This window comes from Homo sapiens, chromosome 13, assembly GCF_000001405.40.
Source record: "Homo sapiens chromosome 13, GRCh38.p14 Primary Assembly".
Classification (NCBI taxonomy): Eukaryota; Metazoa; Chordata; class Mammalia; order Primates; family Hominidae; genus Homo; species Homo sapiens.
The window spans coordinates 53,807,552-53,833,261 of NC_000013.11; the positions used below are offsets into that span (position 1 = coordinate 53,807,552).

General features: G+C 34.3%; 1 long non-coding RNA gene across 1 annotated transcript in view; it reads left to right on the forward strand.

Moving 5' to 3' along the window:
* Nucleotides 1–7,867: 7,867 nt before the first annotated feature.
* The window catches only part of LINC00558 (long intergenic non-protein coding RNA 558), a 60,701-nt gene continuing 42,858 nt past the window's right edge, over nucleotides 7,868–25,710 (forward strand). The window contains exon 1 of the long non-coding RNA NR_047488.1: nucleotides 7,868–7,942. This is a non-coding gene — a long non-coding RNA (long intergenic non-protein coding RNA 558). The remainder of the gene's footprint in view (nucleotides 7,943–25,710) is intronic.

A 25,710-nucleotide genomic window follows, 5' to 3' on the forward strand; every position in this document is an offset into this window, starting at 1 on the left:
GAGTGAAGATTATTCACTTGTTTAATCCCGCCTCTCATAATGATTTCATTTTCATATCTGCCCTCACTTCATTCCTCACCTAATCTCTTACTTGCTGTTGCTGTGATATCCCTGGTAACGTGAAGAAAGCAGTCAGGCCAGCCATTCAGAGCTTCATGAGCAAAAAGAACTTCATTCCTCTTCTGCTATTTTAGTTTCATTGAATTATGTTCTTACTGTATTGGACGAATATTATTCAGGCTAAGGAATATAGTCACAATAAACCTTTTTTCTTTGGTGTGAAGCATCATTTAGATGTTTAATCACCTGAAAAGCCATTTACTGCTTTAGATATACCTTCCCAATGAGCGTAATCTTTTAATTATTAATTGAAATCATAATTTTGTACTTAAATATGGCTTTGTATTTGACTGCACCAAATATTATGGAGTATCCATTTCTTAATCTCAAGTAATTATGCATAAATTTATGTTGTTTCTTTCAATAATTTTGGAAACATGTTAGCTGGACTAGTTAGTGTTCTCAATGGGTAATCAGTAATTTATTTCTTTCTATAGATTTGTAAGTGTATTTCCTAGAATTTAATTTGTAATCTAAAATTGCCTTTTCAGATTCATATAAAAATACACCTTGCTTTATACACTGTTTACTGTCAGACTGTCTGCAGGATCGAAAAAGAGAGCATACTTTCCTGGTGAATTTGCAGAAAATTTGATAAATAAGAAAAACAAGTCGTAAAATGGATCACCCAAACTTCACAGTAACTGCCAATAAAGGGAAGGTTGAAGAACATTAGGGTGAGAGCCATCATGAACCTGCCACATCCTCTTTCCTCCACTGTGCTAGTTGGCATAGACCTTCAAAAGACAAATTTGAGTTTACAGAACAGAAGCACCATTCCATGTTATTACATCTCCTTGAACCAAGTGTAGAGGAAAAGAATAAAAGGAAATCTCTAGGCTCAGGAATTTTGACAGCTTCTTTTCCCAGAAGAGAAGCAAGAACCAATATCTATCACCTCCCACCAATTAACCCCTCACACAACCTCTGGGGCGGAACAGGAAGTTAGATTGGAAGGCGGGAGTGGTTAACGAACATCATTTCAAGGAAACAACAAAAAAAGGTTTCAAGCAGAGTATTTCCCTTTAACAAAAACTTGTTTCAGAAAGATTTTCGTAAATTAATGTTGGGCAATTGTATTATATAATAAATGTACAGTGTAAAATCTTTTGTATGTATGGATGTTTACAGTAGAGTATATTTTGGGAAATCTAATACATTCTCTCAACATCCAGCCTTCTGTGAAGTGAGGTGGTTTTTACCCATAGTGTAGCCATTGCTTCTAGCTTTTTTCCAGACTCGGTTGTTCCTGTGACGGCAGCATAAAAAATGCTCAATGCTGTATATGTAAATAGGGGCATTTGTGTTTTTATTATTTACAACTTGAATTTAATACCTATTTTTCATCAGTATACATATTAATTTAATACACATTTTTCTTTATATTTTGAAGCACATGAATCAATCACTGATGGGCTTGAAAATGAAATCTTATACATTTCAAACATATAATGCTCATACAATTCCAGGAAGAAATGAAAGAAAGCATGTAGATACTTCCGCTTTTAAGAATTTCCCTTTAATTTTTATGAAGAAAAAGTAAGCAATTCAAAAAAATAAATATGGCTAAGTTAAAAAAACTTTCAGAAAGCTTCCGAAATGAATTTATCTATACCATTAGACTTACTTCCTTTGATTAAATATTTTATTCCTAAGGTTAGAATTCATCAAATCAGCTTCTTCCTTTGCTATTTTTCCAAGTAACACATAGGCTCTTGCCTAATGAAATTCTTGTTTATTATGTGTATGTATAAAGATGCTGATGGCATGGAATAATCAGTACTAGCTAACAGGTCTTCCAAATTTATCCAGTCCCAAGTATAGTTTATCTTTTAGAATAAATTGAAAATGAGAAAATGTTTTTGCTGGTATATTTTCCACATAGTTAGCAACCATCATTGACTGAAAAGAGTTTAACAAGGAGTCGGTGGTCAAATGAATCTGTTTCTTATGGCAATGGTTTGCCTGGAAGCATGCTAGTGTCTGTAGCATATGTGCAAATATAGAACATATATTTTTTTTATCTTAAAAAAAAGCTTAAAACCAAAGTGAACAGACATGAAAGAGCCAGATTGTAGGAATTTGCACACACACAGTAGTGTGGTGTAGATTATGTGTGCGAAAAGCATTAGAGAAGGATGTGCATGTGTTATAGACATGGCATATTTGTGTTCAAAATAGATCATTTTAAATGCTTACAAAAACCGTGCTATTGTAAGGAATCATTTAATTCCAAAGCAGAGAATAAAGCACAGTGATGCTTCAGTAAGGCTGGAAGTAGAAAGCTATATATTCTCTGTCTCATGGAGTCACATGTCCAGGCTCTTTCGTACTCTGTTGGTTTCTTTTTCCCTCTCCCATCTCTCTGCAGTTAGATTTTTCACTAAAGTTCCCCAGAACTGTAGCTTGTACATGGCATTGGCTGACCATGGCTCTCACTTTGGCTATGATGGCAAGACTATTTAGTTAAGGATATACCATTATAGAAAGACTTGGTTTTTTTCAGTAACCTAATTCCACATTTTTAGAAGAGATTATCTACTTGAGATCTTTTGAGTGTGATCACAGGTCCACACCAAATAGCTTTAGTCAAGCTGGTTGAGGCCATTTGATACCTAGGCTGTTTGTTCTAGCAGATTTGGGTGACAACTTTTCTTTGAGAATATGGGAGGTTAGAAGATGAATCAACATGTCTACTACAGAACTTGTCCCAGGTCTGGCATGTTTTTTCCACTCACTTAATCTTCTCTAGAACTTATTCAGCTGACTTATCTGGCCAGGCAGTTTCCTTATCTCCTCTGGCCACCATTTCATACTGACTACAGCGGGAATACTTATGAATAACTTACATTCATATGGTACACGTAATATTTAAAATTGTTCCCCATCCAGCTTATTATTATGTACTATTTGGGGCTTTCTAATTACTTCAAATGGATTAATAAATTTAATTCTTACAAACAAACCCACCAAGAATCAATGACCAACACATTAAATTTAGGTGTAGGGAAAGACAAGAGTGAGTTTCCTTCCTTAATCATCTAGAGGAGTCCTTCATGTTTCTCCAAACACATTATCTGTATGTGGTGCCTTTTTATAATACAGGGACCTCCAGAAATCCTCTTCGTTTATTCTTTTCCCTTCACTTTAAATATGCATCTTTATCTGTCTTTTTACAAAACTCAAAGTCAATGAATGTGCCTGATACTTTTCATTACTATTAAATTAGAAAATTTTGCTCAGGAAATATGAGCAAAGATCTATGACTCCTACTTATCCAAATCTGAAAGAGGTTTTCTTCTGTGATGTTCTGTTATACAGATAGATGTTAGCTCCATGGTATGTATTAGCAATGGCTTTCCCTCAAATGGCAAGTGCTCAGGGCCATGGTACCTACTCTCTTCTAAAGGCTGGGGGAATTAAAACACAGTAGGATTCAGGGCAGTTAGTTACTAGCCAATAGTCATCTTTCGGCTTTGGAAACCTTAGATTTTTATCAGATCCTAAAATCTGGGGGGAGATTTTCTCAGCATTTTTAGGCACTGTGAAAATCTTACTTTGAAAGGAAACAAATTAAAAATATGTGCTCAATTTGATCTGTCCCATTGTGTTTTTGTTTAACTTATGGCAGGACGACAAAGATGTGCCCTGTATCTCCCATTTGGGAAAGGAATCCTTCAAGTGGTTGGAAGAAAAAGACATAAAACCAATCATAGTAGAGGGAAGATTGAAGATGTAGAAGCTAAACAGAATCAGTTAGATCTCACCCCCAGGGAAACAATAATAGCACAATACTTAATTTAGTGCTAGCATTCATAAAAATACGCTATTAGGGTTATTTTATTATTTCCCTATGCATGCATACATGAAAATGCACTCAAAATCACCCGAGAATAAGTATTTTGGAACACACATTGAGTTCCCTTTTCCCAGAACCTATAAAAATGCCTTCACTGTAAAAATAATTTTAATTTCTTTAGTGCAATCTATAAATGTGGCCTTTGGGCCTAGTGTTTATGGCAGATGGAATGGCTCTATTTGGACTAGCTAAGAAGACATCAATGTTCTGTAGGTATTGACACAGCAGCCATAAGCTTCCATCTGGCCTTATGCCTGCACAGCAAGGATGATTTAGCATAAAATTTGAAACCATATCTTAATGTGTAGTTGTACAGGGATTACCCATAAACAATTTATTCATTACAAATTCTTGCTAAAATATAAGCTACATTTATATGCATATATACCCACAGAAATATATATATATGTGTGTATATATATATAAAATATAATACTTCAGAATGATCCTTAATTGCTGTAAATCTTTCTCATATGTTCTGGAAGCAGTATCTATTAATTTCTTCTGGATGTCTCATATTTTCTTTAAGTGAATATTCAATGTTAAATAATCTTATGTAATTACAGAGGTTATTAGTAAACTAATTTAATTGCCTTTGTTTTTCAGAATCACAGCAGTTTTCTTCCTAGTCATAACAAATAGCTGCACAAATGTATTTTTATTTTGTTATTTTTGTATTTTATTTATTGTGCTTATTGAACACCCTTCTGACTTGATTATACCTAATTTCCTTCCCTGATGTTACCAAACCTGCCAAGTCTAGCATCATTTATTTATCTAATGAATATAATTCTTCGAGAATGGGATTGGATAAGACTACATTCAATATATCTCTAAAACTCGCTACCTTCAGAAAAAGTATTACTGTATAACTAGACAACTTTCTTCATTTAGAGATACTGACTTAAATTAGTTTCTTAGACTATAAGTCACTGGACAGTTGAGAAATTTGAAGTAAAATGTAAACCCTCAGTTAATTGCCTCAATTTCCTTACCTGTGAAAGCAAGTATATCCACAGAGGCAATGAACTGTTAGACATATGAAAATGCAAGTTTAAATTGGGATGGTGCTTGTTGAAAGATAGAAATAATTTACTTACTGATATTCAGTATCTTAATAAAGAATGTCGTGGCATATACTGGATAATGTTTTTCCTATAAGCTAGATTTTGTTCACCCACTCCCTTCTCCCCATCAAAATTGAAATGCTTTGTAGCACACAATACAGTCAAACATCTTGAGTGGTGCCAGCGAGACGGTATATCCTTGGGAGTGGGGCTTGAGATGGACTCTGGAATAGGCATTCATTCTAGCCCCAGCAGAAGTATGAATAGGACAGTGACTGCCTTCCCAGTTAATTTCATCCTGCTGCTTCTTTTCAGGAGAGGGAGGGTAGTTAATTTTCCCTTTTCAGTTCTTAACATTTGATAGTAACTGACTTAAAACGATAATTCATTTTTTTGAGAGTCTTCTTTCCCTCCTACAGTGTAAAAAGAGATTGTGTTTGTCAAAACAGCACAGGACTCTAAACATTCCCTCTATTTCAGACATTTTCTGAGGCTAAATTTCTGTAGCTAAGATCTGCTGCAGTGAATTTGTGAGCTGAAGACCACCCTAGAAACGGTTTGGGAAACAGTAATGTGTTCCATGTGGCCTCAAAATATGGTAAATATTCAAAAAAGCTCATAGTATATCTGCAATAAAAGTTAACTTCCACGTGAATGGTCCTTTAGTTAGTTTTGCTGGTAAACTACTTTATTAAAGTTGATTTTTTTTTTTTTTTTGAGACAGAGTCTCACTCTGTCACCCAGGCTGGAGTGCAGTGGGGAGATCTTGGCTCACTGCAACCTCTGCCTCCCGGGTTCGAGCGATTCTCCCGCCTCAGCCTCCCAAGTAGCTGGGATTACAGGCATGCACCACCATGCCCTGCTAATTTTGGTATTTTTAGTAGAGACAGTGTTTTGCCATGTTGGTCAGTCTGGTCTCAAGCTCCTGACCTCATGATCTGCCCGCCTCAGCCTCCCAAAGTGCTGGGATTACAGGCGTGAGCCACTGCACCCGGCCTAAAGTTGAATTTTAATTTCATCCTGCAGACTATGTGCCATGGTTACCTGTTGAATATGTGCACTTGTGTTGAGGATGAGGGGCACAAGGACATTTTTATTATTTATACTTGTAATCAAAGCTATGATCACCTCACACATTCTCCAAAATGAGAAAAGAATAGAATAAGAAAGAGTATAAGGAAATGGTATTTTAGAGTGAGAGGTGAGTAAAAAGAGAGGTTATCAGTTTGATGACCAAATTTTCATTTCAGGTCACTTACTAGGCTACTGGGCTTTGTGGTAATTTGTTCATCCTTGTTTCATTAAATTGTAATTACTTCCGATATCTCTAGCTTTATTTCTTTGGCTGGCTCCTCTATTAATTAAGCCTTAGGATCCTTTAGGAGATGAGTAATTCTCCACTGGACAGTGTTAAGTTTAAGTTAAGAGGTGATAAAATAAAATTAAAAGAGTAAAGTCAGAAATTATTATTTAAAATAGTTTAAGACGTAAAAATGAGAAAGGACAATGCACTTCTTTTTCCATTATTCATTTTCCCCATCATAGTTGATGTTTCTATTCTCATTCGTCTATGAAAACATCTATAGTCTAGCTTCTAACAAGTGTTTTTTGCTTGTGTGTATGTATATACACATGTGCTTGCAAGTGTTTTATGTAGATTTTTACAGGAGCCGGATGAATTGCCTCAGTGCATTATCTTGGAACATATCTGCTATCTAATTACTAACACTTTTCTAGAGATGAAATTTCAGCAGTCAAATAAGTACCATGGTAGATGGCCTATCTGGATCTGATGCCAAACATTATGGATTACATGCTGTTATTCTGTGTGAACAAATATTGATTCACTTGGGAAAATGTAGTCATGATTTTTCATGATTGTCCATTTTATTTAAGATATTATAAAACTTAGAGAGCTGGAAGTAATCTTAAAGGGATCCTTCCATCCATTCTCATGCTTGAGATGATGAGAATGCTTGAGCATTCTCATGCTCATTCTCATTCTGTTTGCAGAATTTCAGACCTTGAAAGGCTCTTCATGTGTATCTCCTTCAACTCTTATTTTAGAAGAGACTAAATCAAAACATGGGGTTTAGGTGACCTACCCTAGTTATTAGCACTATGAAAGGTCATGATTAATTAAAAAGATAATAACATGCCATTTAAGACTTACATCTCTTAGATAAATGAACTTCCCATCTCGCATTTTGGAAGGAAATTATGATGGGACAACCGTCATACAATAACTTCCAAGAGTTTTGGTGCAAATTTGGTGCAAATAAATACAAGGAGGTCCTTTACAAAGAGAAGTCCTGCCTCATAATGCAGTCTGAAAATTCTTGAATATACACAGGTGTGTGGGGCACAAAGATGAGTTGTGTTTAGAGATTCAATTGAGAGTAAACAAAGCGTGTTCTTCCTGAATGATTGCTTTATTAGTTCCCTTTGGTCACATGTCTTCTCACCTGGATGATATGCTCTCCTACTTTACAGATTAAGACTATGAGAACTTTTCAGGCTTAAATACAGATAATGCTATTGGGATCCATTCCTTCTTTATTGATGCCATCAACTTGAGTACTATAAGCATTATGTCACAAATTCACATTATGACATCTAAAGCCCTTTGCAGTCTTCTGGCTTCCTACTTCTCCAGCTTCAACTGAAAATATTTTAAGATAGCATCCTGTCTCCACTCCTTACATCTCAGTTATACTTGTTTGGTTTTAATTTTTCAAATATAAAATTTATTCTTTCCCCTAGGACACTTTGCACATGGTGTTTCTTTTGAGTCTAACACTTTCCCACCATTTGCCCAAGTACGTGTTATTCATCCTTCAGTACTCCGCTAACACACACTTTCATCTGGAAGAACTTACTCTGTCCCCCATTCTAGGTAAGCTCTTCATGTAATCAGTTTCCATAATTCCTAGGATGAATTTTTCGTCACACTCGTTACATTAGTGATGGTGACAATGCACAGGAGAGGATGAATTAAAAATTCACTAGGAGATTATCTATACAGCATTGTTATTAATTGACTATACCTAGATAGTAAAAGTGAGTCGAGGATCATTATGAGTTTTCTGCTTTGTTGATTGGTGGGTAGAGTGCCATTCAGCTTGAGAGAATATGGAGAAAGTAAATTTGATGTGAAGAAAATGAGTTCAGATTTTGTGATGTAGAGTTCAAAAAAGAGGCACCCTTGAAGTAGTTGGATGCATCATACTCACCTAAGAAAATAAGACATTTATGATGGAATTAGAGATTAGAAAGTCACCAAATGTAAATAATAATATAAGCCAAGATTGAAGATAAAAATGCACCAAATCAAAAGGATGTCTAAAGAGTGTGAAGGCAAGAGGAACCCTGGAGAAAACCACTGCTTAGAAATAGAGGCTGGGCAAGATGTCTTCTGCCAGCCCTTTCAGATCTCCCATCTATTCTTTGGCACCCTCCTCTGTGTCTGGGGAGGCCAACGTGTTTGGATCACATAAAATGATTTACTTGCCCTCTAGCTTTATGTACTGTTAACCTGATTGGTGAGGGGAGAACTTGTGAAAACAAGACAAAACAAACAAAACAGACACAGAAGGAAGAAGGCTTTTATTCCTCCCCATTCATTCTTGTGAGTTCTCTAAGTATTATCTATGTCCCATGAGTGAAGGCCACTTTTCCCACAGGGCTCAGCCAAATTTTGGTAACCCCTTCCTCTGTTTGCCTAAAATTGGTGAAGCTCACAGCTATTAAACCTAGGCAACTGCGCTATCCTTCTTCACCTTCCTTGCTCACACTTTTGTAAATAGTCACTATACTAAAATCTCCTCCAATTATCCAATTTGAGGGCATGACCTGTTTCCTGCCATGACACTCACTGCCTGACGCACAAGCAGCTATGAAAATTCTAGTAAAGGAGAAATGTGTCATAAAAGACAAAGGTAAAAGAATTTCCATAGGAACTCCATAGGAATGTTCAATAATGCCAAATGTTGCAGAAAAATCAATTTAGATCTGACAATTAGGAGGTTCTTGATAACCTCGGAAAGTTTTCAACTGAGTGTTAGAGAAGTCATATTACTGTGAATTAAGAATAGGAAAGAATTGAAGAAGGGCAGACAAAAGGTACAAAGTAGTGTTTGGGGAAGCCTGACTGGGAACATAGAGAGCTGGATAGAGGGTCACAAATAATCTGTTGGAAAGGACTTTGAAATTCTTATATACTAAAGGGAAAGAGCCAGTTAAGATGAAAGTTCAAATACAATAGGTGAGTAGAGAGCTTAGTGAGGAACCCACTGCAGGGAGCCAGGTGATAGAGGATAGTTACTTGGACTAGGCTGGAGGCAAGAAAAATGAAGGGAAATGGACCAAATCAAGTTGTTTTTGAAGTAGAATTATAAAGCAGAATAATGATTACTTCATAATTTCTGCATATTGCTTCAAAATTACTGTAGAATCAATGCCTTTAAAGATTGTTAATTTACCTGGACAGGAATTTCAAACATTTAAAAAAGTCAGAATTATATTTAATCTTCTTATTTTTACAAGCTGGAATTATCTATAGGTAAGAGTTCTTGGAAGTTTTATATTTGTGTTTATATGCCCTTAATTTTTTGGACATTTCTGTAGATATATTGTGATCTTCTCTAATAAAGTACCCATTAATATACCATATCTAACTAATCAAACTACTTATATATAGTATAATATCTTGTCAATTAACCTGTTATATAACTACATGAAATATATTCTTGTGTGTTTTTTATTCTCATTCCTTTAGGCAACAACCCATAACAATTCTCATTTTGCTAATGTAAGAGAACAGTATTAGAAATAGATGCAAAGGTTTTAACTGGAACTTAATAGCTTAGTGTTGCATGCAAAATCTGTTTTACTTGACTACCCAAATGACAAAACAAGTGCAGGCTGCTGTTTTTCTCCCCTCAGATTAACCCTAGGGAAGCTAGATGTGAAGAAATCAGGGATTCTAAAAACTAAATACAAGTACAAAAATAATGAAATACTTTGAAAAACACTGGGAAGACTGAAGTCTGTCCTGAACTGGCAATGATTCTTTTTTAAAAAAAGAAAGTCATGTTTGGGAATTTTTCACAGAATGTCAACTTTGCCTTGTCATAGTTTAATGAGTTGTAGGGGAAAGAATCAAATTTTTTTATAAAACTGTTGATATACACCTTGGGCCAATATCCAAAAAGATTTTAATAACTCACAGAAAGTGTTAGAGATTCTCTCTCTCCTTCCCATTTTGTAGTTGAAATAAATATCTGTTTGAGATAGAAAATGCACAAGACCTTGACTGCTGGAACAATTCAGTACTTGACTGCTTAGCAAATGTTCCTAAAAATTGTTTCAGACTTCTAAAAATGGACTACTAAATTTTAAAAATACAATTGTAATAAATCATTTCTACAAATATTACTTTGCTGTGATAAAAATTTTTACTAATTATAGAGAAATTTGGAAATACACAGTTGGGTCACTTAGAGAAAAAATATCCTTTAGACTTTCAGGTACATTTGTTTTTCCTCTATGTGTATATTTGCTCACAGTGCTGATCATTTATCCTGAGATTGCATATATTGAGTAAAACTTTTTTTTGCAAGTCTGGTTATTTTAGTTAAGTGGTGACCTACTACCTCTGAAATAATTGACAACTGGTACACCAATATCGACTTTATGGACATCCAATTATTTGACATTTTAAAGTTTTATCAAAATTTTCCAATATTGTCTGAACAAAAGATGCCATCAGTGGTCTTTGGGAAGCCTCACATGAGCATGAGCTCCTTATTCCCACCTGGCCCACTTCTTCCAGAGAAAACCAGAAGCTACAGTGCAGGCTTTTGATTAGATATATGATAATTTAGGAAATACATACTTGGAGAAAAGAGTTAAATGTGCCATGATCGTAAGAACTATATTGTATGAATAAAGCACCAGAGACTATATGCTCAATAGTAGAAATCCAGTAAATTAATTACTATACACAATTCATGTCATATAATACAAATTGGTAAACAAATTGATAAATTGAACAAATAAGATAATATAGTTAAAACATTCTGTAGCATTAATGGCTTAACCCCTACCACCATGATATCTGCACCCTCTTAAACTCAAAAAAGGGTTTGGGGTACACTTTTAGCCTATCGGAAAATATTTGTAAACTATGCTAGTCTAACTAAAGGAAATTAAGCAGAGCGCATTATTATGATTATTACTAATCATAGTAACACTTAGAATTATTGAAATTATTATTACCTAATAGGCTGAGTTAATTCAAGCAATGAATTTCCTCATGATCTCAAATGCAAATTGTGATATTAAATTTAAATTGGCATTTTTTTTCTGTTTGTGATATGAGTGGGGACTGCAAAGTTTATTTAAGTTGCTTCATTACCCAGAATATTTCACATAATTGCCATTAACTATAACAATCTCTTCTCTATAATATGGCTGAAAGAAAAGAATTTTAATCCTTTTCTCAATTATTAATCAGTTTCACTATCCATTTCTTAATAAAGAATGCTTGATAAAGCACTGTGCCTTTTTCCATGACATCCTCCCCTTTTACAGCACTGATGAAATGGGAATCAAACTACAGGCCACTTATGGATTAGCTGAAAATTTCTAATCATGTCATTTTGGAGTGAGGGTAATTTGTGCAATGGGATAATCATTTCCTCATAGCAGAATGAATATTGAACAATGATTGGTCGAGAATTTAAAAAATAGACTTAAAAGCAAAACAAGGGGGCTGATGAGGTTTTGTTTTTTTGGTTTTATCGACTGCCTGGAAACTTTGCATTGCATCTGTGCTGATTTTTTTGGAATAATATTCAGTAGAAAACTCCAGAAGTATATATATAAAGAATACACATTTCTTAAAGTTTTAAAGACTTATATTCAGGATGGCAGAGCAGAGGTGCTGTCGGGGGTAGAAGAAAGGAATTAGAATCATTTTGCCTTTCCTTTGCCTGCATATTTAGCCTCACAAATAAGATAAATCTAATGAAAATAAGAGGAGGAATATCTCTATTATATTCCTCCTATGCTCCCCCATGTGTTCCTAAGTGTCTAGCAAGCAGTAAGCAATGAGCAATTATTTATGAGTAAATAGATGAGTCAATTAAATCCTACATTGGATTAAAATTTAGTGTATTTTTTCCTCCCAATGTAAGGTACAATTAAAGTTCCTTGCGTGTCCAATTATCAGATTCATAAGTGTGTTAAAGAAAGTTACCAAATTTTAAAATATCTCAATTTTCCTGCTCCAGAGGAATGGAATTTGGCTGTTATAGATAGAAATGAAGATAAGGTGAATCTTTACTTTGGTAAGTTTTAAAGGGAAATTGGTTATAATGATCTCTGGTACCAGTATTCTGAAGTTTTATAAAATGTATTGCTTTCTTTATTGAAGTTAGTAGAAATGCTTTTGAAAGTGAGTCAAATATGTTTCTGGTTGATGGAGTTTAAAAGGCTGAAAAGAAAGAATATTGCCTTAAAAAAGAAGCCCCAAGAGCTTGTGTTAGAACTCCATAAATAATTATATATGGGCAAGAAACAATTGAAATAAACCTGCTTTAGTCTTCATTGAATGGTCACTTTTATACAATTGCACTTGTGTTATGTACCAGTACAATCAGCCTTTGCCATAGTTTTTAATCTTCTTAATGAAAACCATCACCACCACCACCACCACCACCACCACCACCACCACAAAACATGTTAGTGACCATGTCAAACGAATGTGAGATCAAATTATGAATTTGAGTGCCAAAATATTTCTTGGTATCAGTGCCAATTCCTTTCTAATATTTACATAACTGTAACTTTATTCAAGGATACTCTGATCACCAGGTCTGGGAGTTTCCATATATTTCAGAAATATTTTATTTTTATCAAAAAGAGTTTGAATATACTTCAGGATAATTGACCTAAAAGCCTAGTTCTGGATAATTTAAGGCAATCTCTCTATTTAACTAGTGTTCTTGGTGTTTAATCATAAACTACAGCAGTTTGAATGTTGTGAGCCTGTAATTAAGGAAAGTTTACTCCTAGAGCTACAGAGCAGCCCAGCAGTTCTCAGGCAGTGATGAAGTTTACTGGTCTTTTGAAAGTGTGTGCTTATACCTCATAAAACACTTAAGTCCTCTACAAAGTAATTTAGGTAGGTACCAGTAAAATCCAGCTAAACTAAAATGTTTTGTTTTATTAAATCTTAAAGTCATTTAGATGACATTTGTTCTTTAACTTCGGAGAAAACTGAGGGAGTAACACATATTGTTTTCCAAATTAGTCATCAAGCTACATTTAAGTGGCATCGTATGGTACATTAAACGGTATCTGGTAAAACGAAAATTCTTCATTTTGAATTGAGGAGTCTTTTAAGGTTTTCAGAGTGACCATATTTTACCATGTAATTTATCATCCAACCGAATATATCCTGAGATTAAAAGAGTGCTTTTCATAACTGTGCCCAAACAAGCCTAAATCAAGGCTGTTTCAAAATTAGACATGTGCCCCAACCCTCTGTTTTGCTGGGGCAAGGAACTTCCATGTAATTTAATAATTACCCATTTGAGCAAATGTGCAAGAATGAGATATAAAACTTGGCTTGAAATATTTATCCCATTTAATCCCTTTCCTCTGATTTTGCTATTATAGCTCAGACTTCCCAGGGTACCTGCAGGCTGAGAGTGAGAGGAGAATGAGTTACCCAATTAAAAGGGAGTATATGAGCTAATAGTCCAGTTTGCTTTAGCCTAAGAAACACCTCAAACTTGCTCTTATCACTCTGAAATGAAAATCGGCTTTTCCTATTTAGCTCTGAAGTAAACAAAAGTTTGGAAAAAGCCAACTCGATGATTAAAATGTATCCTCCTTGTAACAGTTGGGGCCTTCACTTCCTTTTAAATTGTTTAAGAATCCCCCAACAGAGCAGATCACATCCAACTTCTTGCAGAGCAAAAAGCAACCATTTGTCACAAGTCTTCTTTTTTTTTTATACATATTTTGTATTCCACTGTTTTGTTCCAATCTTCCTTTGTTTTATTTGGCTGCTGAAGCCAGAGCTTCTTGCCTTTGGCAATAAAAGCTTATGAGCAAACATTCTCTGTGCCTTGGAAAGCAAAAGCATCACCCCAGTCTGCACATCCAACTGTGCCCGTCTCCGAAGTCCTGAGCCCTGTTCTTAAATTGGAACCTGAGAAGCTTTGCCAAGATTTCTTGCTGCCAGGCGGACTCCGTTGGGCCGGGCCGTATTGATTCGCGTTGGTTCCCCTGTTTTCTGTCAGTTAGTGATCCAGACGTAAGCTTTGATTCCTCATTATCTCAATTGCAAATTCCATGAACACATCATCATGCTGCTAGTGCATCCAGGATTTGAAACTGAAAATACCGGATCAATGTCTCAGGGGCACAGCCTTGAATTTCAATACAATTAAATTTCTTGAATGTGAGATTTATCCAGATTGTCATCTGCATTTTTTGCACGTTCAGTATGTGAATCTACCCGCACACAGAACCCAAGCACAGTGGTCCTGTCAGCGCATAACGAAGGAAAAAGACTTGATCGTGAACCTGAGGGAAAGATAATCAAATGTTGAACCTGCTGAGCCTGTTAGATGAAACTGTTAACAAGGCTTGCTCAAATCACCAGGGGAATGCTGTGCGGAGATGAAGATTGGGGTTCAGTTCTGAAATATGTAAGCAGGGTTAGGCTGAATAAGGAGGTCTCAGTGCTTGCTGCTGAAGCTGTGTAGCCAGCCTTTGAAAGGATTTGTATTTTCCCTCAGGAGTCACTTCAGCACACAGATTCACTTGAATCAGTTAAGCTCAACTCAGAAACACACTGACTGCGAAAGTGTCATAAAAGAATACCACATTTCAATTCTAATTTTCACCAAATGAAAACTAAATAACAAATTGACAAAGCAAGAAAAAATAATTTATTTTTGTAATTTAAGAAGATAGACTAGGGAGAAAGAAATAAAAAGCAACAGTTACTCGGAACAGGTGCTATCTACGCTTAGTGGAATAGGAGGGTGGAAGTCACAAGCAACAAAGTGTTCTTGTTAGCAGACTTGACTTTCAATTTCCTTACATGCTTAAGACAATGAGAACTTTACAAACCCACATCCTTCCTTTACTGCACAAACTCAATATACTTAGGCTTTTATTTCACTAGCTCTCCTCCTTGGAGCTCCTTCTTTCCCTACCTGTGACCTCACTGAAGGATATTAATGAATACAGTCAACTTCCCGCATCTGGTGTGAGGCGACTAAGCCTCTGGGACTGATAAAGCGTTTGCAGTCCTGGAGTCATTATCAATTTTTATTCGAGATAGTGCACCATTGAAACCAGAGCACGTGTTAAAATTCCTTTATCTCTGAATTTCCTGCTCCAAGAAACCTTGGCCATTCAAATTTGACATCCAAGTTCACTTGAAATATACATTTAGCAATAATCTGTAAAATTATCTGTCATGGAAACATACTAAAATTCGATGGAGGCTACGTGTGACCAATTACTATTGAGAGCAACAATCTACTTTAGTAACATCATGTGTTCATTACAAAACTTTAAAATATTTAACTTCTTAGGTAATATAAATTATACAGAAATAAATTTAGTATTATGCTACAGTCTCTTGAAATAGCCTAGATTTATTTTTAGTCCATATAAGTCACCTTTACAGAGAAGAAAAACTATTTCCTAAACAACATTCATTCTTAATTTTTATTTATGCATAAAGACTTGTGTGCATGTGTGCATTTTGAAAAATGCTGAAAAATACAGGAAGTTTAGAATGAGAAAACTTGACTTACAGCTCAATGATGGAATTTATATTCTTGCATGATACTGAGAAATACCATTTAACCTCTTATTGCCTCAGAAACTATATCTACAGAATCGAAACAATTACAATACCTGTCCTTCCAAACTCAGGTTGTTTAAATTAAGTAATATGATTTCCATGGAAGCATTTTATAAATTTTAAAAAATTATGCAAGTTTGTTTTAATATTAACTACACTATAATTCACAATTTCAGGAGCCCAAATTTGTATAGTTTAAAAAAAATCTTATCAGAAGGGGTTTGTATTATAGACAGAAATCTCTTTGAAACACTGGTTTTTTCATTATATTTTCTTGACCAAGGAAGTGAACTCTACCCTAATTTTACCTGAGGAATTAACTGAATTTAATTGAACAAATTTCTCTGACACTCAGGCCTTCCTCTTTGGTGACTTCTGGATACCCATGAAGCCTAGCCAAAACAAATTCCTACCACCTTGATAACTTCTTGAATGATTCTGTTTCTAGCACATATTTCAGACTAGAATTTTTTATCTCACCTAACCAACTGGCCGAGGACATTTTCAAAGACATTACATAGTTTGAGTTTAAGATATTAAAAACAGAGATTATTATCTTCACGTTGTAGCTCCCACTCATCCTTCTGCTATGTTCTACCTCTATGATACCAATGTTTTCACATTGTTTAAGCCAAAAGAAATTCAGGTATAATCTTTGACTGTTCTTCATCTTCACGATTTCATAGCTCCTTAATAATGTCGTTATATCCAATTCTACCTCCTAAATGTCTTCTATAATTAGCCCTTTTCTCCTGTTCTATTCCAAGCCATCAAATTCCTTTGTCTGGACCATTACAACAACATCCGATTTGGACTCTGCCTCTGTACTTACCTTATAGGAACTCTTCAACTTCAATAAGGGATGCAATTATCAGAAAACTACCTTCTACAGCCTTATTTGTGCATTTATAATGTTTTGATATGACTTTATATACAACTGCTCTTATTTGTCCTTAATACGTGAAGAATTTCAATATAATTTTTTGAATTGGAATTTTATAAGCCCCTATACATTGTTGTTGTTGTTGAATAAGACAATGAATAAGAGGATGAATGTTTGAATGCATGTATGAATATTTGTAATTAGGGCTATTTAAGACAAGTAGAAAGTGAGATAAACAACTATTTTAAGTTTGTTGAGTAGAGTTTGGCAATGTAATATAGCTCAAGTCTATAACATCTCCCTGACTTTTGCTCATCTACGTTAGGGTTTCTCCACCTTAGCACTGCTGACATTCTGGACCAGTTAATTCTTTGTTGTCCAGAACTATTCTGAGCATGGTAGGAGGTTTAAAGCATCTCTAACCTATATACATTAGTACTCAGTCTCCTATTATAATTAAAACTGTCTCTAGACATTGCCAAATGCTCCCTGGAGAGCAACACACTTCTAGTGGAGAACCACAGACCTATGGATTTGGCTCTCCCAAAATAAAAGTAAATAAAGAGAGGAAGTGTGAGGAGGAATTATGTTGCTACATCTGGTAATCTGATAATCTATCAATGATTATCTACACTGATGACCTCACAACTAAATATTTGGGAGATTAAAATGACTCCCAGAACAAGAGTTGGTAAGGGACTATGCAACCTTAGTCATTTTCAATCTTTCTTTGGATCAGTACGAGGCCCAGATTTCAGAACCTATCTAGGAATAAAGACTTGAGATGTGTCTAATTTAGACTCAGAACCTAATTTTGGTAATTGAGGCAAAGGGCCCGAGAATACCACCTTCATATGATATGAAAAAGTAGGTTGGTGTTTTAGATGTGGCAAACTTACTTGACTTTAGTTTAAATGGACAAATATCTCCAGAGAGTGTCCTTTCTATTATACATTGTCTATCCTCTACAAGGTTCCCACACCTACCAAAAATCATAATAGGAGGATTCTGAATGTATATTAAAAATAAACACAGAATACTTATTATTGAAACAACTGATTTTTTAAAAAATTGAGCTGACTACAAATCAAACAGTTACAAAAACTTTATGATAAGACACATATGAATCTTAGGAATACACACAATTCAAGGAATAATAGTGGCAGCCCGTTAATTGACCCACCAAGAGGTAACATTCTAGAATAATTTCCTTACCAGGGAAGAAATCTACTATTTAATATCAATGCTCTGTGGCTGCTTACTATATCAAGAAGAATTATACTGCAAATAATCATGATCTGGACTGCTTTTGTCTGTGGCTGAAGCTGAAACCATCCAATTAATATATGGTGTTCAGGGAAAATAGCTCATTTTAAACCAGGGTCTTAGTCAAAGGAAAGGACAGCCTTTTATTAACTTTGTCCCTTGTCTCTAGACATATTTATTGCATTCTTCTGGAAGAGAAATAATAGAAGCTCAGCTATAAGACCATGTGCGCAAAACAGAAAAAATCTCTTAGCTGCCATGAATGCAAATGGCTCTGTCACTTGATGGGAAACACTATGGTTTTAAAATTTGAAAATGGTTCACAAGATTCAGAAATCTCTCTTGTAACATATAGTCATTAGATGATGAAAAAGAAAATTATGTGGAAATGATAATATCTTGATTTTGTCCATGCACATGGCTACACATTTGAGTTTGGTTCATGTATATATTGCTAGTCATCATGGTCAGTGAATTTTTATTATTTATCTATAAAATATTACTCTGACACCATACATTTAAACACAATCTTAATATATTTATCTGACATAACTTCATGGTTTAGTTATACTCCTACTTCACTTTAGATATTTGGTGTTTGTTATAAAATGTAAGTCTTTATCCATTATTATTGTTATTATTGTTTTGAGACCGAGTCTCGCTCTGTCACCCAGGCTGGAGTGCAGTTGTGCGATCTCGGCTAACTGCAAACTCCACCTCCCAAGTTCAAGCAATTCTCCCTACCTCAGGCTCCTGAGTAGCTGGGATTACAGGTGCTTGCCACCACACCCACCTAATTTTTGTATTTTTTAGTACAGACATGGTTTTGTCATGTTGGCCAGGCTAGTTTGGAACTCCTGACCTCAGGTGATCTTCCCGCCTCGGGCTCCCGAAGTGCTGGGGTTACGGTGTGAGCCACCGTGCCCAGCCCATTGTTATTTATTATATCAATTACTGTCATTCATTTTGTGGTTTTTCCATATGTGTCAACATTTTTCTAGTGTCTTAATATGGGATTCTGGGAGAAAATTATGAAGTACAATTTTGGTTCATGCTCAAAACATTAACTTAGAAATATAATATTGTTAACGTATCTTATCCAAAATACTGCCCAGGGAGTTTGGTATTTGGGTGCAGAAGCATAAGCCAAAATTGTGGAGTTAAATGCAACTACCCAAAAGGCAGCGTGTGAGAATAATTTTAAATCAACACTAGGCAGAGTGGCAAATTCTGTCATAAATCTGAATATATTTGGTAGCTTGAGTAATTCTGACAATTGTCAGACAGAAGTCCTAGACCTGACCCGCTTTGGTGTAAATGAGTCATATATTTACAATGAACTAACCACCATGGTGGTGGGATGGACTATGTCTGACAGCAAACTGAGAATACAGTTTCTCTTGCCTGAACAATATGGCTTGAAGGTTAACCTATCCTGGGTGATAAAAAAACAAAGTGATAGACTTGAGAACATAGTAATAGTCTCATCTTTTTCTTATTCATCACTAACAAATTTGAAAAACAAGAAACATTTTGATCATTGCCTCCTTACATATATCTTTTCTTAATAAAGGATTTACCATAGTCCCTAGAAAGAGGTATCTATACCAGTAAATATATCTAAGTTGTTTTGGCATTAGCTGTTTTCTATTTTGAAAGTTTCCAAAGAAACTGGAAGTTGTTAGCAGGGAATAACACTGGGAAGTAAATGAAGGGGGCTTTCCCATTTTTACTTTTCAGTTTCCTATACTGTTTGAGTTTTTATAGTAATCTTAATAATTTAACAAAACATAAAGGAATAAAAGATAAAGGTTTTTAAAAAGAAAAATACCTACAAGTCTTCAGGTTCATTGACTTTTATTGGAACAATGAAGAAAACTTGTAAATAATGCTAGTAAGCCACTGCCATTTACCTTTAAATTATAAAACATGCATTTCCAGTGGCCTGGATAAGGACAAATTTTCAGATATAAGGGAAAAAATTTCATTCATTTAATTTGCTTCCTTGTTCTATCTGATTTTTTTATTATGTCAGGAGGCATCTGGAACTTTTTTATGATGAGGTTGTGCATCATAAAGATCTTTTCTAATGTCTTCATAATCTGGCATTGCAGTCTGGAGGGATGAGAACCATACATTTGGCATGCTTCTATAAAAATAGACTTGATTATTCCTAACTCATAGGATTGTGGGGATCAATTGAGTTAGTAAAGCTTATAAATGATGAGTGTTGTGCCTGGCACAGAGTAAACATTCAATAAGTTTAGTTGGTGACTGCTTCAAGCTGAAAGTAAATTTGAAGAACATGAAATAAAATATTAGGATAATAAATAATAGATTTTCATGCAAAGCCACATACTCTTCTCATAATTACACACTGCATCTCAGGACGTCAGTCATGATTTTGCTATGATAACTCTCTTTTTGGGAATGTTGTCTGCTTATCCATCTTCCCCTCAACTCCTACTTTTTTTTCCATAACGCAGTAAAATAATTCTTACTATGTGTCCTCATAATATGTGTCCTTAAACAATAAATATGAGAATGACTGGTGATTTATTTAAAAAAAATCCAAAATATTTTTAAGACCAAAGAAATATTAATTTGTATTGTACTTATATCAAGTGAATGTTTGGCAAAGAAACACTTAGAATAGAGCTGGACTTATTATATAGCCACTCCAGTTTAAGTAAGTTTTCAGGATAGCAGGCAACTAAAATAGAATAAAGAACTAAATAACTTGAAAGGGTTTTTTTGTTTGTTTTGTTTTGTAATTTGGATTTTGAGAAATTGGAAATAGTGGTATAATACTTGAAGATAGATTGTGATAAAGTAAAAGTGTAATCTATAAACACTAAAGCTATAAATAAAATAACAAAACAAAGAATTATAGTTAACAAGCCAACATAAAGAAAATAGTTATAAAAAATGCTCAGTTTAAATGAAGGCAGACAGAAATGGAAAAGGTAATAAAAAAAGGTTGTAAGTTAAAAGCTCCAGTTAAAAGAAGTTGTCAAACTGAATTAAAAACTATCTTCAACAGCATACTTTCTCTATATACATACAAATAGTGAAAAAGAGTTTTAAATGATATACCATTTTCACACTAAAAGAAGGCTGGAGAAACTATATTAATATTAAATAATGTAGATTTCATAGGAAATATTGATATAAATATATAAACATCGCATAAAGATAAAGATATTGAAATAGAAACACAAATAAGAAAATATCAATGAAACCAAAGGCTGACTATCAAAAAGGTCAATAAAACTGATAAATTCTCGCAAAAGATTTGGAAAAGCAAGAAGGTGAAACAAAGTAGATGTCACAAATTATCAGGATAAGAAATGAGAAGAGTGATTGTATCACAGATTTTACAAATACCAAAGGGGAAATAAGGGTATCAGTATCTTCACAACAATTTTATGCTAAATATTTGTCAACTTAGATGAAATGGACACAATATCAAAGCTCATGGCTTTTCTTCATCCTTGGCAACATTTGCTAAGGCCAGGCTTTTTAAAGAATTACAGATTTGTTGGTGAGGGTGTAGAAGAGTCAGAACTCTCATATACTGCTGGTAAGAAGGCAAAATCGTACAACCACTTTGGAAAACAGTTTGACAGTTTCATAAGATGTTAAAAATAACCTTCCATTTAACTGAAATATTCTTCTCCTTGTTGTTTATCCAAGAGAATTGAAAACTTATGTCCATACAAAGATTTGTCCACAACTTCATAGCAGCTTTACTTGCAGTAACCAGAAATTGAAAACAATCCAAATATTCACAATAGATTAATGGATAAACAAGTTCTGGTACCTCCATACAATGCAATATTACATAGCAAAAACCAAAACAAACCAAAAACTATAGAAGCAACAACAAAGATGAATCCTGAAATAGTTTTTCTAGAATGAAGCCACACAAATAAGAATAGTGTTTTATTTTATTTACATAAAATGCTAGAATATGCGAACTAATCTATAGTGGCACATTAGCTTGCCTAGGGAGTGGCATGAGGGTGTTATTACATAAGGACATGAGGAAACTTTTCTGGGTAGTAGATATGTTCATAATTGACTATAGGGGTGGTTTCACAGGGTATACACAGAGTATACATATATCAATCTTAGCAAATAATAAACTATAAATATGTGCACTTTATTGTATATCTAATACTCTCTTTTTTGAGACAGTCTCCCTCTGTCACCCAGGCTGTTATGCAGTGACATGATCTTGGCTCACAGCAGCCTCAACCTCCTGGGTTTCAAGGGATTCTAAGGCCTCAGCCTTCTAAGTAGCTAGATTACAGGCACCTGCCACCACAGCCTGCTAATTTTTGTATTTTTAGTAGAGACGGGGTTTCGCCACCTTGGCCAGGCTGGTATCAAACAAAGCCATTACATACACTATTGCAGCTGTAATTATAAACATATCAAATGTTTGCAGTCCTACAATTTGTAAATTATTTTAATTTCTTCTAAAAAATGGGATACATGTGCAGAATGTGCAGGTTTGTTACATGACTGTGGGTAGCAATTTGTTTGCCTGTACAAAAATATTCCATTACCATATTTTAATTAGATGCTTCTTAAAGCATTTTGAAACATAATTTTTTAACAAAATTACAAGTCACTGGAACTATGTTTTAATTAGGTGCTTCTTAAAACACTTTGAAATAGAATAAAAATTTTTAACAAAATCACAAGTCACTGGAACTATATTTTATGAAGAGATATACACTCGATTAATTTGTTTTTGTGGTTTGTTTTATCCTTGATGCATTGTTGTAAATGATTAATGACACAAGTCTTAACTTTTCTTCTTACCATAAACGATTGCCTAATAGTTTGTTTCTATTGTCTTAGTATTTACGGTTAAAATAATCACTGATAAAATTTTTAACAAATTTTCATTGTTTTATTTAATGATATCCACAGTATGAATGCTTTTATTATTTTTCATGGTAACCATAGATTTTAAAAGATAATTAGTTTCAATTTATTCTCATGATATGTCTAACATGACTTTACATGAACATAAAGTGTAGCAACAGTACCTTATTTCCAGAGAGTTTTCTAGTTGAAAATCTACATCTATTGGTGGAGCTTCATAAAATAGACTAAAACCATGCAATTATGCCTTCCATGGTACCAATATTTGTATTCCTACAGCCTACTGCATGTAATGTCTGTTGTGCTGTTTAACTGTCTTCTGATAGAGATTAGAAGAGGGAACTGTAACAGCTGAACTGCTAACCATGCTTTGGAGAGGAGAAGGCATAAAGGTTCCTTTTGTGATTTGACTAATTAATATTTCAAGCAAATTTAATGGCATTTTATTAGTTTAGTGAAATGTTGAGTCTTCTTTCAAAAAGGAACATATGTAAAGTTATATACTAATTATCAAACTTAGACATATTTTATGTTTGGATAGAAAATTATGCTGGTATATTTTTATAGATATTCTGTATTATTCTCAACCTTTATTGAGAGAGGGCTGCAATTGTCAAAGGTACACGTATCTTCTGAGTAAAACTGCATAGGGGAGAGACTTTAGCACTTGCACTACAACAGGAAAATTGATAAAAGGATTACATATTTAGAATAAAACTTTATTTCCTTCACAAACTAATATATCACTTATTAATGTGTGTATGAGCTATGGATACCAGCTAACATTCTATAGTGGTTTTACACTCATAACTACCAGAGCAAGAAACCAAACATACCAACTTATTCTCACATAGGCACAGATACACAGAGATGCCTAAAGCCACTGAGCTGACAAGTTTCATTCTCAGCTGTGCTGCAATACATAAGTAGATTCTCAAGATTTTCTGCCCATATATGTAGCAGCATCTATTTCCTTATTTTGGATAATGTGAGAAAATATTTGTCATCTGAAATTACAGGCAGTCTATTAGAGAGATAACATATAACCTACAGGTCCACAAGCACAGACTCCATTGTATAAGCTCAATTCTAAGACATCATATTATGATGTAAATAAGGCATGACAGGAAACATCTCTCCTGCCTGACACCATCAAATCTTTTTTTGATATAAACAGATCATTTTGCTCATTTCTGAAATTAATACTATTGATATAGTAAGGGCAGAATTTCTGATGAAAAAACTGAGCCTAGAATTTATTTTATACTTTGAGAGGCTTAGCAATTTGCAAATGTTACATTTTCTAGACTGGGATAACTACCTGCTGGTTGGAAGATAGTTCAAGGAACTGCAGGATCCAGAAATGGAAAATGTATGTTTTTGTAGAAGAGATGAGAACACAGTTTATGCCATTTATTTTAGCAGCCATATTAAAATTTTTGTCCAGTTCTAGAACTGGGTACTTTGCATATAAATACATCCCAATTATAAATAACAACTACCCTACAATTTCTTCTGAGTTCTGAGTTATGAGTTATGGTGCCATCTTAAAGTGACATCTATAGAAATAGAGTATCATTCCTTTCCATTTGCCAGCATTTCTGTGTGCAGGTAAAATTGATATGCTGGTTTCCACCCCTCTAGATAATTTAAGTTTTACCTCGAGGTGAGAAAGCATATATTTTTGGATGATATTTATTTTAAATTTTGTAGAATTGCTACTGGGGGTGTGTTTGATAATGGCATATTTTCAGCTTTTATCAGAGAACATGACAGAAAATACATTCTTACTGCATTTATTGCAGAATATTATTGACACCATTGTTTATTTTATATCACACAGCATCCTGATGTAAAATTCCACTTGAGAAATTTCCTGTTGAGTCAGTGCTAAGATGAACTTTGCTTCTTCTGACAATCTCGAATGTTTTCGATTCTTTTTGAAATTCAGAAATATGTAGATGTTTACTTCTCCCTTTTTTCCCATTGGTGACACATATTATAGTTTATTGCTTAACATATTAGTATATATGATTAATTTATTTCTGTACTTTCAAATTTAATATCCTACCTTTATTTATAAATGTATGGATTTTGACATAGTAAAAAGAACTAGTTGTATGCCAGTCTTTAAAAAGCCATTATTGACTTCTAAATATTAAGACTGTCTATACAAGCTAAAGTTTATATGAAAACTGAATCCAGTAGAACTTTCAGAATTATGATATTAAAGTCTATCTTTGAAAACAGAACATAGTTTGACCACTATTCTATTTTTTAAAAAATACATCTTTCTGTCTTAGTTTTTCTTCAACATACATCTTAGTTATTTGAAATTGATGTTGAATGAGATGGTTATATAGAGACTATTAAGGCAGGTAATCTTTCCTGAGCTGGTGAACATTGTTTTATTGTCCTGTTTCCAACAAATAGTTGGGTCTGTCTGCTAATTTGTTTTCCCTTTTATATTAAAAGTACTTTATTGAGGTACAATTAATTTATGATTTACACACAATAAAATACTCAAATCTTAAATATAAGGCACAATGGATTTTGACATATGTTTACAACTGTTAAGAAATCTCTTCTATCCAGGGGGATATCTTTTCAATACCCTTTCCCTGAGGTGTTCACTGTTCTGATAGCTATAACAATGATTTTCATCCTATCTGTTCTTAAACATGATGTAAAAGGAAACACACAGTATGCACTCTTTCTT